Here is a 16,670-nt window from a genome sequence, read left to right on the forward strand (position 1 = left end):
ATGACTGCTCAGGCTTCCAGCATGAATATTCCAGTCACCCGGGCAGCCACTGCATGGCTCTCCCGACCAGCCTTGGAGTACCTCAGCATCCAGTAGCCACAAGGGAGGGGACAGGACCCCACCATGCATTGTGGCAGGGTCAAAGAAATCTCAGGCTGTGGGAATTTTGTTACTTTATTGAGGCATAATGTCTACACAATTCACTAGGTGGTACAATTCAATGAGATTTAACAAATGTATAAAGATGCAACCACCATCCCACCATGATAGAGAACAATTCCATTACCCGCAAAAAGTTTCCTCACCAGGACCATGGCTTTTTTTTAATTAAAGTTTTTCTTTTGAGATAATTACAGATTCACATGTAGTTGTAAGAAGTAATATAGAGAGATCACTTATATACTTTGCCCAGCTTCCCCCAATGGTAAAATCCTGTAGTATAATATCACGGTCAGGATGGGAGGCTAAGGCAGGCGGATCACTTGAGCCCAGGAGTTGGAGACCAGCCTGGGCAACATGGCAAAACCCTGTCTCTACAAAAACTACAAAAATTAGCCAGGTGTGGTGGTGCACACCTATGGTCCCAGCTACTTGGGAGGCTGAGGTGGGAGAATCACCTGAGCCCAGTAAGTCGAGGCTGCAGTGAGCTGTGAGCACACAACTGCATTCCAGCCTGGGCAACTGAGACTATCTCTAAAGAAAAGAAAGTCTCCTTTCTAAATTTATAAATCATGTGATTTTTCAGTTGGCACTCTAAAGGTTAGAAATCACTGTGAAAGTTCTGCCAGAAACTGAATATGTCTATTCCATTTATGCATTCAGAAACTGCCAAAATAACCCATGGGTATTGCTTTAAAAAAAAAAAAAAAGATACAGAACATTTCCAGCACTGTAAGGATCCCTCTGTTGCCCTTTTATAGCCACACCCACTTGTCTGCTGCCTGGTAACCACTAGAGAGCTCCATTTCTGTAATTTCATTTCAACAATATTATGGAAATGGAAATGGAATTATACAGTATGTAGCCTTTTGGGATTGGCTTTTTTTCGCTCTGCATAATTCTTGGAGATTCATCCATGTTTGCTTGTATCAATGGCTCATTCCTTTCTCGTCCATCAGCATTGTGCAGTTTTCAGTGTATAAATTTTCTGTTTTTGTTAGATTTATACCTGCATAAAAACAAACAATATTTATTATTTCTGCGTGCTAGCCATAAATACGTGGACACCAAAATTTAAAATACAGTATCATTTGCAGTCAGTCAAAAAAATGCATAGTCTGCTGTTGTTGGGTAGAGTTTTTTAGAAATGTCACTTACATACTGAGAGTTGGTGGTGGTGTTGAGTTCTGTTTGCTTGCTGCTTTTCTGGCTAGTAATACTTTCAACTCTTCAGAAAGGGACATTGAAGACCCCAACTCTGATTATAGATTTGTTTGTTTCTCCTTCCAGTTCTATCACTTTTTACTTCACGTATTTATAGCTCTCTTGTGCGCACACATTTAGGATTGTGGTGTCCTTTTGGTGGATTGACCCTTTTATTCACTTAGTGTCCCACTCTGTCTCTGGTAATTTGCTTTGCTCTGAAGTGTGATTTATCTGATATTAATATTGCCACTCCTGCTCTCCTTTGATTAATGTTTGCACGATATATCTTTTCACATTCTTTAGTTTCATTCTGCCTATATTGTTACATTTGTAGTGAATTTTTTAAAACAGCATACAGTTGGCTCATATTTTTAAATCATGTTTTTTAAAGCCATTCTCTATCTCTTAATTGATAAACTTAGCTTACTTACATTTATTTTAGTTACTGACATGTTAGGGCTTAAGTCTGACATTTTATTTTCTGTTTCCTGGTCTCTGTTTTTTTTATTCTATTTTTTTCTTGTTCTTTGTTATTTGTATTTTTATTTTTTTGAGATGGAGTTTCGCTCTGTTGCCCAGGCTGGAATGCAGTGGCGCGATCTTGGCTCACTGCAACCTCTGCCTCCCAGGTTCAAGCAATTCTCCTGCCTCAGCCTCCTGAGTAGCTGGGACTACAGGCACGTGCCACCACGCCCAGCTAATTTTTTGTATTTTTAGTAGAGATGGGGTTTCACCTTGTTGGGCAGGCTGGCCTCAAACTCCTGACCTCAGGTGATCCGCCCACCTCAGCCTCCCAAAGTGCTGGGATTACAGCCACTGCGTCCAGCCTGTTTTCTTTCTTTTTCTTTCCTCTAGTGTTTGTGAGTCTATCTCCTTGTATAGATTTTTTAGTGGTTGTTTCAGGTTATTACATTACATATCCATAACTTATCACAGTCTACTGGTATCATCATTTTACCAGTTGAGTCACATGTAGAAACCTTATCTTCTTTTTTTTTTTTTTTTGAGGTGGAGTCTCACTCTGTCACCTAGGCTGGTGTGCAGTGGCACAATCTCAGCTTACTACAACCTCTACCTCTCGGGTTCAAGCAGTACTCCTGCCTCAGCCTCCCGAGTAGCTGGGACCCCAGGTGTGTGCCACCATGCCCGGCTAATTTTTGTATTTTTAGTAGAGATGGTTTTCACTCTGTTGGCCAGGTTCGTCTCAAACTCCTGACCTCAAGTGATCCACCTGCCTCAGCCTCCCAAAGTGCTGGAATTACAAGCATGAGCCACTGTGCCTGGCCTTGTCTTCTCTTAATGTCTTTTACTCTGCCCCATTTATAATATAATTTTCTTAAATATTTCCTCCACATATACAGTGTTATAATTTTTGCTTCAGTAATTAAGCATAATTACAAACTCAAGAGGATAAGTAAGGAAAGCCTATTGTATTTACCTCATTTTTGCTTACTGTATTTTTTTCTTCCTTTCCAGTATTCTAAGGTTTCTTTTCCATTTCCTTTCTATTTAAGAGTCTCCTTTAACCGTTCCTTTGGGGGAGAGCTACTGGAGATAAATTCCCTTAGTTTTCCATCTTTGAGAATTTCTTGATTTTTTTTTTTTTATTCCTAAAAGGTACTTTTACTGGATGTAGAATTCTGGGTTAATACTTATTTTCTTTCAGCATTTGGAAAATACTGTGCCACTTACTCTGGCTGCCGTGATTTCTCATGAGAAATCCTCTGTCATTCAGGCTTTATCCCTATCATGAAAGTCTTATTTTTCTTTGGCTGTTTTTGAGATATTTTGGTTTTGTTTGAGTGTTCAGAAGTTTAATTAGGATGTTAGGATGTGTCTTGGTGTGGATTTGTGTCTATCCTATTTGTTTCTCTTATTTTTTTGAGACAGAGTCTTGCCCTGTCACCCAGGCTGGAATGCAGTGGCACGATCTCAGCTCACTGTAACCTCCACCTCCCGTTACCCAGCTTCTTGAATCTGCAGGTTTATGTCTTTTTTTTTTTTGAGGCAGAGTCTCACTCTGTCTCCCAGGCTGGAGGACCTGCAACCTCTGCCTCCTGGGTTCAAGCAATTCTGCCTCAGCCTCCTGAGTAGTTGGGATTATAGACATGTGCCACCATGCCTGGCTACTTTTTTTGTATTTTTAGTAGAGATGAGGTTTTTCCATGTTGGCCAGGCTGGTCTCAAACTCCTGGCCTCAAGCAATCTGCCCGCCTCGGCCTCCCAAAGTGTTGGGATTATAGGTGTGAACCACCACACCCAGCCAGCAGGTTTATGTCTTTTGCCAAATTTTCAGCCATTATGTCTTCAAGTGTGTTTTCAGTGCACCCTCTTTCTCCTCCTCCAGGGCACTGATGACGTGAATGTTAGCTCTTTTGTTGTAGCCCCACAAGTCCCAGAGGTTCTAGTTTTTTTGGTCTATTTTTTCTCGGTTGTTCAGACTGGGTAATTTCTGTCTTTCTGCCAGTTCACTAATTCTTCCCTCTGTCCCCTTCATTCTGCTCTCGAGCCTATTTGCTGAGTTAATATTCCAGTTGTATTTTTCAGTTCTAAACTTTCTTCTATATATATATATTTTCTTTCTTTCTTTCTTAAACTTTGTTTAGAACACTTGTCTCTTCTTTAGATCTCTTATTTCTTTGCTGAGGCTTCCCGGCTTTCATTTGTTTCAATCGTTTGTCATTGCTCGTTGAAGCATTTTTATGATGGCTGCTTTAAAATCTTGGGCAGATAATTCTAACAACTCTGTCATCTTGCTGTTGGCATCGGTGGGTTTTCTTTTTTCATTCATTTTGAGATCATCCTAGTTCTTGGTATGATGAGTAATCTTCAAATGAAACCAGGAGATTTTTGTATTATGTGATGAGATTTCGTGTCTTCTTTAAGTCTTCTGTTTTAGTTGGCTTTCTCTGACACGGCTCAAGCAAGGAGAGTGAGTGATGCCAGGTAGAGGTAAAAGATCAGGTTCCCCACCTGATGTCTATCACCTGGGGCAGTGAAGGTCCAGGCTTCCCACTTTGCTGCCTCTTACCCTCCTAGCAGGGAGGGGAGGAATTTCTCATTACTAGAAGGTGGGGGTGGAAGTCTGGGTTCTCCCACCATTGGTTCTCCCACCCAGAGGTGGGGTGTGGACTTGTCACCAACCAGCAGGGGTTGCAGTCTCAGTTCCCTCCTTGGCCTCTCTGATACCACCAGACAGAGGGCTTGGGGTGCCTTGCTACAGCTTCGCAAGGATGGGAGCCTAGGCTCCCACTGGGCCTTTGCTGGGGTGGATATGGATGTTCTTGGTGGTGTTGGCTAGAGTAGATGGGCTACTGCCTAAAAGCTTTCTGTCTTGGGAGGTTGCTCCTTCCCAGTCCTTTGACTAGACAGAGCAGCTTTTGTGGGTTTTTTTTTTTGTTGTTTTGTTTTGTTTTGTTTTGTTTTGTTGTCTGCACCTGTTGGTATTTCTAGGTTGCTGGCTTTTCAGCTCCAACTCTGGCATATATGAACCAGAAGGAAAACTCAAGGAACACTGTGTTGTTCCTCATGTCCCAGAGTCCCTAACTGCTCTGCCTTCACCTCTACCTTTCAGAGTCTTACTTTGTTTTTTTTTTTTTGTTGTTGTTGTTTGTATGTTTCTGAGGCAGAGTCTTGCTCTGTTACCCAGGCTGGAATGCAGTGGCACAATCTCGGCTCACTGCTACCTCCACCTCCTGGGTTCAGGCAGTTTTCCTCCTCAGCCTCCCAAGTAGCTGGGATTACAGGCATGTGCCACCACGCCCGGCTAATTTTTGTATTTTAAGTAGAGACGGGGTTTTACCATGTTGGCCAGGCTGGTCTTTAACTCCTGACCTCATGTGATCCGCCCGCCTGTCTCCAAAGTGCTGGGATTACAGGCGTGAGCCACTGCGCCCAGCCTTACTTTGTTTGATCTATGATGTCGAAGGGTTTTCGGTATATTTAATGAATGTATGGGGAAAAACATATCTACTCCATTTTCCCAGAAGCAGGAGTCTCGGGACCATGGATTTCTAAACCTACCACATTATTCCAGGCCTTTGTTGTGAAGATTAAACGAGGTTGTGCCTGTAACATTAGAATAGTTCCTAACGCATGGTAGAATATAAGAAATGTTAGCTCTCATCCATCCTGATGTGGAAGCTGGTACAAAGTGGGTGTGAGCTTACCTTGGATCCCATAGTGCTGTGGGTGACAGCAGCTAGGGTGGATGAACACAGTTTTGCCTGGAGCAGGTGCTTGGGAAGCCCCTACTCTTTCTGCCCATGGTGTCTGGAGAGCTGGGAGCCAGAAGGGGTCACAGCCATCCCTTGCCTCCATGCCTCTCTTCCGTAGGAACAGGCTGTGCTCGGGGCACTGGTGTGACCGTGTTCTCTCTCAGGGGTCTGGGCCTACTGACTTCTGCCAAATTGGAACCTTCTTGGGCTGTGGGGATAAATTCCTGGTGCATTTGCTCCACCTTTTGTTCTCTTTGTCCCTGTATCAGGAGATAGTGGAGCAAACCATGCGGAGGAGGCAGCGGCGAGAGTGGGAGGCCCGGAGGTGAGTCTGTGCTTCCAGCTGCTCCCAGCACCAGAAGCCCACTTGCCTGGGGGTCTGTGGTGCCACCCATACCTCTGACTTCCTGTCTCAGGATAATTTATTGAGTTTAGAACCTTTGGGCCAGTGGCTCTGGGAGTGAACCTGTGGCCGCTGCATTGGAGAAGAGCTCCAGGTTGTTCGCCGGTCCCATGAGTGACAGGACAGCCCCAAGGTCTCCCAGGTACATGCCATCCATTAGAGACCATGGCCCTGGCTCTTTATTTTTATCAAGTTTTTCCAATGTAGATACTTTGATTTACAAATTATTTATAAGAAGTGCTCTAAAATGAAAATATTGGAAAGGTTATTCTAGCTTGAAGTGAGCATGCAGCAGCGCCCTTGAGGTGGGTCCCGGGGGAAGCCCTTGCTGGATCTCTCATGGAAGGTCTCCCAGGCCATCCAGCTGATGTTCCCCCTGTTTCAGCTGAGGGCATGCACTCCTGCCGCTGCCACAGGAGGAAGGCTGCCCCCTCGGATAAGGACAACGTAAGACAGGTGTGGTGGCTCATGCCTGTATTCCCAACACTTTGGGAGGCCCAGGCAGGAGAATCCAGGAGAGTTCAAGGCTGCAGTGAACTATGATTGTGCCATTGCACTCCAGCCTGGGTGACAGAGCGAGACCTTGTCTCTAAAAACAAACCAAAAAAGGATAATATAAAACCATTTCAGGAAGCATAAGGAAAGAAAAGTGAAAATAATCCATAATCACACTGCCTAATTAAAAGAGATTCTGGGTTTGGGTTTCTATTCCTGGGTTATACATACTTGTGCATATTTTACATGATACATCTGATTTTGCATCTTTCTACTTAATATAACCATTTAAAATAGTTCTGAACAGGCTTTCTAAACAGCCTAGTACTTAATTGGCAGTTTCCCTTCTTTTTGAAATGTAGGTTACTTCCAATATTTTGCCATTATAAATAAGGCTTCAGTGAATTACTTTGTGCACACAGCAAGTTTTGTCTTGCTTTTTCCTTTGAATTGTAATTATGGGACAATTTCTCTGAAATGGAATTCTGAACTATACCACTTTACATCATACATTGCCACTGGCAGTTTGTGTTAATTTCCCAACGTTACACATATACATTCTGCTAAAGAGTCAATAAGTGGCCAGGTGTTGTGGCTCATGCCTATAATCCCAATACTTTGGGAAGCCAAGGTGGAAGGACTGCTTGAGCCCAGGAGTTTGAGACCAACCTGGACAACATAGTGAGACTTTGTCTCTATTAAAAAATTTTTTTAAAATTAGCTGGGTGTAGTGGCACATGCCTGTAGCCCCATCTACTTAGGAGGCTGAGTTAGGAGGATCACTTGAGCCCAGGATGTCAAGGCTGCAGTGAGCTGTGATCACACCACTGCACTTCAGCCTGGGAGACATAGCAAGAACCTGTCTCAACAAAAAAGAAAAAACCAAGAGTCAATATGTGAAAACAAATAGTACCATGATTTAATTTGCATTTCATTGAATACTGTCAAGTTTAGCATTTTTCCAAAATATTTGGCTTCCTGTACTGCTACTTCCTGTTGAAGACCTGCATTTTATGTCATTACAGAAGAGACATCCTCTTTGACTACGAGCAGTATGAATATCATGGGACATCGGTAAGTATGAATAGGTGGAACTCACTATAAAGTTCTGACTCCAGGGGTCAGTGTCCTCAAATGTGAAGAAGAAACGTAGATTTTAGAGCCACAAAAGCCTGGTTTGAATCTGAGCTCCATGTCTTCCCCCTGTGTGACCTTGGGCAGGTGTTGCAAGCTCTCTGAGCCTTAAACATCTCCTCCTCTGTAAAGAGAATAATCCTCATTTCAGAGGTAATTATTAAAATGGTCGTTTGCACCCAATAGGTGATCAAAGAAGAGCAGCGTTTATTTTTGTTCATCAAAAACACAGAATGAGTTTGTACCAGTCTCTGTGCGAGAAGATAAAACGCTATAGACTTATAATGGCCCATCAGTGTGTGTCTTTTACAAAACAGAATTTAGTGTAGAAAACCTACTATGTCAATAGTGTTGAGCAGAGCTCAAGGCCTTAAGGAGCCCTAGAAAATAAGTTTCAATAAAACATCCTGTATTTAGTCTTAGAATTTAATACTGGGACCTTGAACTCTAAGCACCGTATTTCCAGTGTCCCTTTTATTGTCAAGGTTCCATTGTCCTTTGAAGGATCATCCTTTTGCTGTCTCTGCTCAGTCCTTGCTAATGGAAAATTCTAAACAGTTGGTGGGGAGGGTGCTGATGCTCACTTAGAGAAGATAACTCCCTCCAGATATATGGGGCCAGTTCCCTTGGAAATTCTCTCCCTGGAGGAAGCCCGCATCTCACGGCAAAGGGGATCTTAGGGTCTTCTGGTCAGACACCAGTCTTCCTCAAGGTCTTTTACCAAATAGAGACCCTCTGCTTATGGGAGTTAAATGCTCCGATGTGGACAGCCCTGTTGGAAAGAGAGGTGCTGAGGCCCCTCCCTCTTTAATATTCAAATAATTGGACCCAGGGCTCTGCCTCACCTGGCCTTCCTGGGAATGTGTTTGAGGACGCCAGCCAAGCAGGAGGAGTGTGCGGATGCAGAGCCAGGCAAATGATGGGGTCTCCTGGCCTTTGGGATTCAGTGCCTGCCTTGGGCATCACTGAGGAACACAGGGAGATACAAAGAGGCCCCAGCCAGTGCTGCACCCGGGCTGCCCCTACCAAGTGAATTCTTCCCTTGCTACAGGATAAAATATACAGACAGTAATGATTTTAGGTAGCAAAGGAGTTACTTTCAGTCTTCCTCTTCTCAGTTTAGCGTGTACTCATCCCACATGTCGGGCTGGAATCCACCCACATGCCCTGGCCAGGTAGACCCTCCATCCGCAGGGGTTTGCCAGGGCCCTTCTGGCTCAAGTCCAGTCTGGCTGCATGGCCCAGCCCCAGCACATGCCCCTCCCATGAGCCTTAGACTTCTCTGCTTCCTTACAGTCAGCCATGGTGATGTTTGAGCTGGCTTGGATGCTGTCCAAGGACCTGAATGACATGCTGTGGTACGTAGCCCCTGCGGCAGCTGTGTGGGAGTATTTGTTGCCTTGGTCAGTGCCACATAAGCAGCTCTGTCCTCCCACAGGGAGGGTGTTTCCCTTGTCCCCACCAGGAGTGTCAGATGCAGCCCCTTTCTGGGTATGTGTGTGATTTTGGTCTTTTTCCTAACTGTGAAGCCCTGGGAGCTTCACACAAACATGGGACTTGGAGTGTCGGAGAATGCAGAGGAAGAGAATACAGTACAGCTTCACCTTCCCCACTCCTGCTGCTCAGCCTGTACTCAGTAAAGTCAAGTGACAGGAGGAGTGTGAGATTTGAAGGAGGCAGCCTTTGCAGTGGCTCACATCCTTAATTCTACATCCGTAATCCCAGTACTTTGGGAGGCCGAGACAGGAGCATCACTTGAGTGCAGGAGTTTGAGACTAGCCTGGGCAATGAAGTGAAACCCTGTCTCAAAAAAAAAAATTGTCTGGGCATGGTGGCTCACCCCTGTAATCCCAGCACTTTGGAAGGTCAGGAATTCGAGACCAGCCTGGCCAACATGGTAAAACCCTGTCTCTACCAAAAATAGAAAAAAAAAAATTAGCCAGGCGTGGTGGTGGGTGCCTGTAATCTTAGCTACTCAGGAGGCTGAGGTAGGAGAATCGCTTGAATCCGGAAGGCAGAGGTTGTAGTGAGCCGAGACTGCGCCATTACACTCCAGCCTGGGCGACAAGAATGAAACTCTGTCTCAAAAATTAGCCAGGTGTCATAGTGTGTACCTGTAGTCCAAGCTACTCAGGAGGCTGAGGTAGGAAGATTTCCTGAGCCCAGAAGTTCAGGGCTGCAATGAGCTACAATTGTGCCATCGTACTCCAGCCTGGGTGACTGAGTGAGATGCTGTCTGCAGAAAAGGAGGCAGCTCTTGCTAGGCATCCTTGCAGTCCTGGCACACGGTGGCAAAATTTGATGTAGGAAGAACCATCCCTCCTCTGAGTCCGCTGTGCGGGCTGCACCTGGCATGACCGAGCACAGTGGGGCCCAGTCACTCTTGCTGTGGGCTGGCCGTCATGCTGGGGAAGCCAGGCCTTGCCTGGGTCTCAGGTAAAAGATGAGCCTGAAGATGGGAGCCTTGAAGGCTCACCAGAGGCCTAAACACTGCTACTCTACATCCTGCTACTTTAAGCTGCAGGATGAGTAGATGTGAACACAACTAGGGCCCCCTGTGCTGGGGGCATGTGCCATGAGGGGCTCAGAGAGATGAAGTGATACCAGGGTCACCAACAGCTCAGCACAGGCCTCTGCCATGATACTGTATCAACTCCACTCCGAGTGTTGGGGTCAGGAGTGCAGGACAAGAGCAGAGCATGGCCTAGGAGTGGGTGGGAGTGCTGGCTCCTATTATAGCTGCCATGGCTCTCCTGGGAGGTTTTCCTCCTCTGAGTACCTAAAGCTCCCACAGTGGCAGACACTGCACTGCAAGGCCCCAATTACCCTTCTAACCTCTTCACCTCAAGGAGAGAGGCCACCTGACTGAGGCAAGCCAGGGTCTGGCCCCACTGGCAGGACATTCCCCAGAGTGCTGAGCTTGGGCCCGTTCCATCATCTCACTCCATCCCCCAGGCCTCATTGAGCCCAGGTGGGCTATAGGCCGGCTCCACTGCCTTCTCTTCTTCCAGGTGGGCCATCGTTGGACTAACAGACCAGTGGGTGCAAGACAAGATCACTCAGTAAGGACACACTCCCTTGCCTTGCAGGGTCAGCCCTGTGCTGTGGCCAGGTGCACAGCCTGACCATAGCCACTAAGTTTTTAGCAGGGTCCCTGTAGGGTCCTATTGAGAAGTGAGGACTGGCCCTCCTCCTTGGGCCCAAGCATTTGTCACTGAGGAAGGGCTAACTGAGTACCAGCCGAGTGACCGTGGCCTTGTGTGGCGTCTTCATCTGGCAGGTAGAGCCAGCCTCCCCAGTTCTCTCCCAGTGCCCTGCTTGTGCTGGGTGCTACCAGCAGGGCCAGGCTTAGAGGCAGGTGCTGAGGTGTGGCCCTTGCAGTAGGTGGGGGGATGGGGGAAGACAACACAGGAGCAGGTTGGGGGCGGGATGAGAGCCCCTAGTGAGGACCCTGAGTATCTTGCCAAGCAGTAGGGGTTTGACCCCAAAGGTAAGGGGAAGGCTCCAAAGGTAAGGGGTCTGGTGTGAAGCAGAACCCCTTTTGCCCTCAGTGGTGGGCTCCCCATCTGATAGACTGACGGTGAGCTGCAAGGCTGCCTCAGAATGCAGATGCTGCAGGGCGAAGTGGGGGTTGGCTTCTTCTTTCATCCCTGCTAATGCACGAAGTGGCCCAACCTTCTCTAGTGGCCATCAGGCAGAATCTCTTAGGGATTGGCATGGACCTAGACCCCAACATGCTGGTCCTCTCCTAGGGGACCCATGTAGATGTCCCCAGGCTGTCACCTGGCACAGCCCTAGGCGCAGCCTCCAATTGGGTGCTGGTCTCCTCATGCAGTTTGAATAGGCCCCATGCCACTATTTCCTGCCTCCCCAGCCCTGCCCCTGTCTGGATCCTGCAATAAGGCCCACAAGGCAGGAGAAGCCCAAGTTTCAGGCCTGGAGCTACGGCCTGGACAGGTCACCTTGGCACAGCCCACTGCCCTGTTGGGCCCTGAGTCCCTTCGTGTGTTAAGAGTAGCATGGAATTTGTGCACAGATAATGTAGGGGCTAGAAACACCATGGTGTATGCACTGATAGGCACTGTTCCTGGTCTGTAGCAGTCTCTCAGGTGAGGCCCCCACGGTCACTGTCCTGGTTGGTGGCCCTTTGGAACCTAGAGTGGGGTCTTCCTGCTCTCATTGTGCTCAGTGGCACTTCCTGTACAGGATCTGTACCTGAAACTGTCCCTATAAACTTTACAAAATTAATGAGGGCAGGGGGAGGGGAGAAATGAAAATGAACCCAGCTCGCAGCACATCAGCATCAGTCACTAGGTCGGCGTGCTCTCTGCCTGCTTCCTCGTAGCTGCTTGGTGTCTCATTGCCTCCGAAACATGTAGACCCTGTCACAAGATTGTAGTTCCCCTAACTGCTCCATAGATCACAACTTGAACCTTAGGAAATGCCGTTTTCCCTTTGAGATATTTCTTTGGGTCCCACATACTGATGGAGCTACTGACTGAGCTGCTCCGAAGGACCCCACGAGGAGCTGACTAAACCAAGAGTGCAGTTTGTACACCCTGATGATTACATCCCCCTTGCCCCACCAATCAACTATCCCAATTTTCCAGCCCTCCACAGTCTCCCTAAAAGCCCCAGCCCAAAACTCCTCAAGGAGATGGATTGAAGATCTCCTCCCATCTCCTTACTTGGTGCCCTGCAATCATGAAACTCTTCCTCTGCTGCAAACTCTGCTGTCTCAGTGTAACAGGTCTGTTACTGCACAGTGGACATATGGACCGCCTGGTCCTATAACACATTTTGGAGGCCGGGCGCGATGGCTCACCCCTGTAATCCCAGCACTTTGGGAGGCAGAGGTGAGTGGATCACCTGAGGTCAGGAGTTCGAGACCAGCCTGGCCAATATGGTGAAACACCGTCTCTACTAAGAATAGAAAAATTAGCTGAACATGATGGCACACCTGTACTGTAGTCCCAGCTACTCGGGAGGGTGAGACAGAGGAATCGCTTGAACCCAGGAGGCGGAGGCTGCGGTGAGCTGAGATCGTGCCACTGCACTCCAGTTTGGGCAACAGAACAAGACTCCGTCTCAAAAAAAAACAAACCAAAACAAACAAAAAATTATGGAGAGCCTACCTGAAGCCCCTTATGGGTATTTGCCTGCGGCTAGGTGCCCCTTCACTGTTCGGTGGGCAGGACCTAGAGACAAGCCCAAGTGGCCACTGGGCTCCATTGAAATATGGGCTGTTGCTGGTGCCCTGCCTGTTGACGGAGCAGTGTCAACCTTCGGTGCATAAACTGCTCGCAGCAAAGACAGTTTCTGGTTTTCAAAGGCATTAGAAAAGTTTTCTCCATGCAACTGGCACCCCTTTCTCTTCTGATTTGCTGGCCTCCTTGGAGGTCTTGTGGCCTCCTCAGAATCTTGTGACATATTATAACCCTTTCTTAACTGGAAATGACCCAGACACCCAACAAGCATCTAAAATAATTTTAGGATTTTAAGCTGCATGGAACGTTTGCCTAGAAGCATTCATACAATTTACATTTCATGCATTTTTAAGTTTGCCTAGATTACTTATGAAAACTGAGAGACAAAACTAGTCATCATTTCAAATTATTTTATTGTTAACCTTTTTCTTTTTTTGAAATGGGGTCTTGCTCTGTCTCACAGGCTGGAGTGTGTTGGCATGAACGTAACTCACTGCAGCTTTGACCTCCTGGGATCAAGCAATCCTACCACCTTAGCCTCCCATGTAGCCGGGACTACAGGCATGTGTCGCCATGCCTGGCTAATTTTTTTGATTTTTTTGTAGAGATGGGGTCTTACTTTGTTGCCCAGGCTGCTCTCAAACTCCTAGGCTCAAGCAATCCTCCCTCCTCAGCTTCCCAAAGTGCTGGGATTACAGATGTGAGTTGCCACACCTGGCCTTCTTAATCATTTTTATAGCCTGTGACCATCAGATGTTCACCTAAGAACCTTAAAGTTAAATGCATGTGTATTTTTGCTGACAACTCAGAAGATTCAGCTGTTATCATTAAACCAACAATATTCATCTTATTTGTCAAAAAGTCATACAAAGATCATTCTGGTTTTGGTTAGTTTTACAGTCTTAAAACCTTTTATGCAAAGTCCTGACACCCTAAATATCCAGTAGAGACAAATATAAAATCGTTCAGTCAATAAACTCAGAAAAAAGATGTACGCTGATAGTTTTGAAGACGTTTCTATTTTTATTTTACCAATAATTTTAAAGCCAGCTTATTTACTAAAGATCATTTAAGTCACATGAAGTTGAAAAATATTTGAACTTATTTACTTTGTTTATGAGCACTCATTTATTTATAAGCCAATTTGGTAGCATGTAGGCACAACACATAACACAACATGTACATACATCTAAATTTATTTTAACCCACATACACACACATACAAAGGTACAGCTTTTACTGCAGAACTCTAGCCATGAGACAGCAGTACAAACTCACCAGTTTATAAAAGAGGGCTGGATCCAAATTATTTCTGACAAAATTGGAACCATTCACATAAATAAACTTTGTTTATCCCAGTAGGTAATTCAGTGAAGGCTGTGAACTAAAATTTTGAATAAAGCAGTTTCTATAGCAGTTTGATTTTAAAAACTTACCCTTTCTTTTTTTCTCCAGTTTCAAGTTTTCAATGATTACATTTTAGCTACAACTGGCTGAGCTGTATAAGCAAAACAAAATCTCCAAGTAGCTCTGAATAATACCATAGACAGTGAGTCTTTTCTCAATACCAGTAGCTTAATAATACCAGATTCAAAGCAGACAGAAAAGAGACAGGGGTGATGGCTCATGCCTGTAATCCCAGCACTTTGTCGGGGGTGGGAGGATTGCAGGAATCCAACCTAGGTAACATAGAACCCCTCTCTATAAAAATAAAAAAAAAATCAGCTGGGCATGGTGGTGCATGCCTGTGGTCCCAGCTACTTGGGAGGCTGAAGTGGGAAGATTACTTGAACCCGGGAGGTCAAAGCTTCAGTGAGCTATGATTGTACCACTGTCCTCCAGCCTGGGCAACAGAGTGAGACCCTGTTTTAAAAAAAGAAAGCAGGCAGAAACTTTCTCATAGTTTTTCCACAGGAATTTCTTCTTTTAGTGGGTAGGTTACCCACTGCACTATCCTGATGAAGATGTACGTCTCTTGTCTTCCCAGTTTCACAAGATGCAGCCCAGTGCCCAGCTTGGAGTAACCAAATCAATATTTCTCATTCCAGCTGAGACGATATACACACAACAAAAATGCAGACACTGATCATTCCACTCTGCGCCCAGATTTGACGTGGCGAGGCTCATACTTGCCCCTGTCAGCCCCCAGCACCTTTGATCTACTCAAAGTTGGGAGGAATTACCTCCAACCAGGAGTTCAGCGGGTGGTCTCTGGGCAAGATGAAAAAGTATATGGTCAACCTGAGTTAGGCCTGCTGAGCTGCTGCTAGCAATTCCTTCAGGGATCCCTTTCACAAACATAAACCTACATAACAAGACAAAGACAAACAAAAGGCCTTCCGAAATCAAGTTCCAAATTTCAGAAGTCAAGAGGATTTCTCCCAAGCAGTGCTCTTTGGTCTCCTTCCAATGCAGAGGAAGTCCCCTCAAACGAGGCCCTTCCTATTATTAGGGAGGGTCGACAAGACCTCAGAAGAGGCCTCGAGACTTCAGAGGGAGCCACAAAACCTTTGAAGAGGCCACAGGACCTCCAAAGAGGCCAGCAAATCAGAGGAGAAAAGGGTGCTGGTTGCACGGAGAAAACTTACCTAAGATGCCTTTCAAAACCAGAAACTTGCTTTGCTGCGAGCAGTCTATGCACCAAAGGTTGACATTGCCCTGTCAACAGGCAGGGCACGGGTGGCAGCCCATATAGTTCAATGGAACCCAGTGGCCGCTTGGGCTTTGGGCTTGTCTCTGGGTCCTTCCCACTGAACAGCGAAGGCGCACCAAGCCGCAGGCAAGCAAATGCCCACAAGGGGCTCGAGGCTAGACTCACCATAATGTGTTATAGGACCAGCAGGTTTGTATGCCTGCTGTGCAGTAACAGACTTGTTACACTGAGACAGCAGAGTTTGCAGCAGAGGAAGAGTTTCATGATTGCAGGGCACCGAGTGAGAAGATGGGAGGAGATCCTCAAATCCATCTCCTTGAGGAGTTCTGGGCTGGGCTTTTTTGGTTTTGTTTGTTTGTTTGTTTTTGAGATGGAGTTTTGCTCTTGTTGCCCAGGCTGCAGTGCAATGGCGCTGTCTCGGCTCATCGCAACCTCCGCCTCCCAGATTCAAGTGATTCTCCTGCCTCACCCTCCCAAGTAGCTGGGATTACCAGTATGCAGCAACACGCCCGGCTAATTTTGTATTTGTAATAGAGACGGGGTTTCTTCATGTTGGTCAGGCTGGTCTCAAATTCCTGCCCTCAGGTGATCTGCCCACCTTGGCCTCCCAAAGTGCTGGGATTACAGGCATGAGCCACTGTGCCCGGCCTGGGCTGGGGCTTTTAAGGGGACTGGAGGGTGAGGGGCTGGAAAATTGGGAGAGTTGATTGGTGGGGCAAGGGGGATGTAATCATCAGGGTGTACAAACTGCACTCTTGGTTTAGTCAGCTCCTCGTGGGGTCCTTCGGAGCAGCTCAGTCAGTAGCTCCATCAGTATACAGGACCCAAAGGAATATCTCAAAGGGAAAACAGCATTTCCTAAGGTTCAAGTTGTGATCTACGGAGCAGTTAGGGGAACTACAATCTTGTGACAGGGTCTACATGCTTCTGAGGCAATGAGACACCAAGCAGCTACGAGGAAGCAGTCAGAGAGCACGCCGACCTAGTGACTGATGCTGATGTGCTGCGAGCTGGGTTCATTTTCATTTCTCCCCTCCCCCTGCCCTCATTAATTTTGTAAAGTTTATAGGGAACATTTCACCCACTCTGCTGTGGATCCCTGTCACTTACGGAGTCTGTCATCTTGGCTGTATGGGCTGTGGCCTCTGCGGTGCCCATTCTCAGGAGGTGTGAGACCCATGAGGACCGGAGGTGGA

General features: G+C 46.5%; 1 protein-coding gene across 13 annotated transcripts in view, besides 1 other annotated feature; it reads left to right on the plus strand.

Annotated features, from left to right (window-relative positions):
- Window positions 1-16,670, plus strand: part of CDC45 (cell division cycle 45) — a 41,147-nt gene that overhangs the window by 9,010 nt on the left and 15,467 nt on the right. For 10 of the 13 annotated variants that reach the window (NR_161281.1, XM_047441531.1, XM_047441532.1 and 7 more), the window contains 4 exons: window positions 5,852-5,907; window positions 7,506-7,554; window positions 8,911-8,972; window positions 10,626-10,676. Coding sequence is in view for 12 of the 13 variants with exons in the window: in XM_047441531.1 (XP_047297487.1) it covers window positions 5,852-5,907; window positions 7,506-7,554; window positions 8,911-8,972; window positions 10,626-10,676 (218 nt within the window). In the remaining variant the exon portion in view is untranslated. Of the gene's footprint in view, window positions 1-5,851; window positions 5,908-5,965; window positions 6,128-7,505; window positions 7,555-8,910; window positions 8,973-10,625; window positions 10,677-16,670 lie in introns of those variants that run through there. The other 3 variants (XM_047441534.1, NM_001178010.2, XM_017028966.2) reach the window with 2 other exon arrangements.
- Window positions 10,139-10,355: a silencer, noted in NCBI's record as "fragment chr22:19486137-19486353 (GRCh37/hg19 assembly coordinates)". NCBI's record gives its function as "represses an EF-1alpha promoter that drives an FKBP-Casp9 reporter gene in an ReSE screen in phorbol 12-myristate 13-acetate-treated (for megakaryocytic differentiation) K562 erythroleukemia cells {active_cell/tissue: K562(+PMA)}" and the evidence as "EXISTENCE:reporter gene assay evidence [ECO:0000049][PMID:32094911]".

This window comes from Homo sapiens, chromosome 22 (assembly GCF_000001405.40).
Source record: "Homo sapiens chromosome 22, GRCh38.p14 Primary Assembly".
Lineage (NCBI taxonomy): Eukaryota > Metazoa > Chordata > Mammalia > Primates > Hominidae > Homo > Homo sapiens.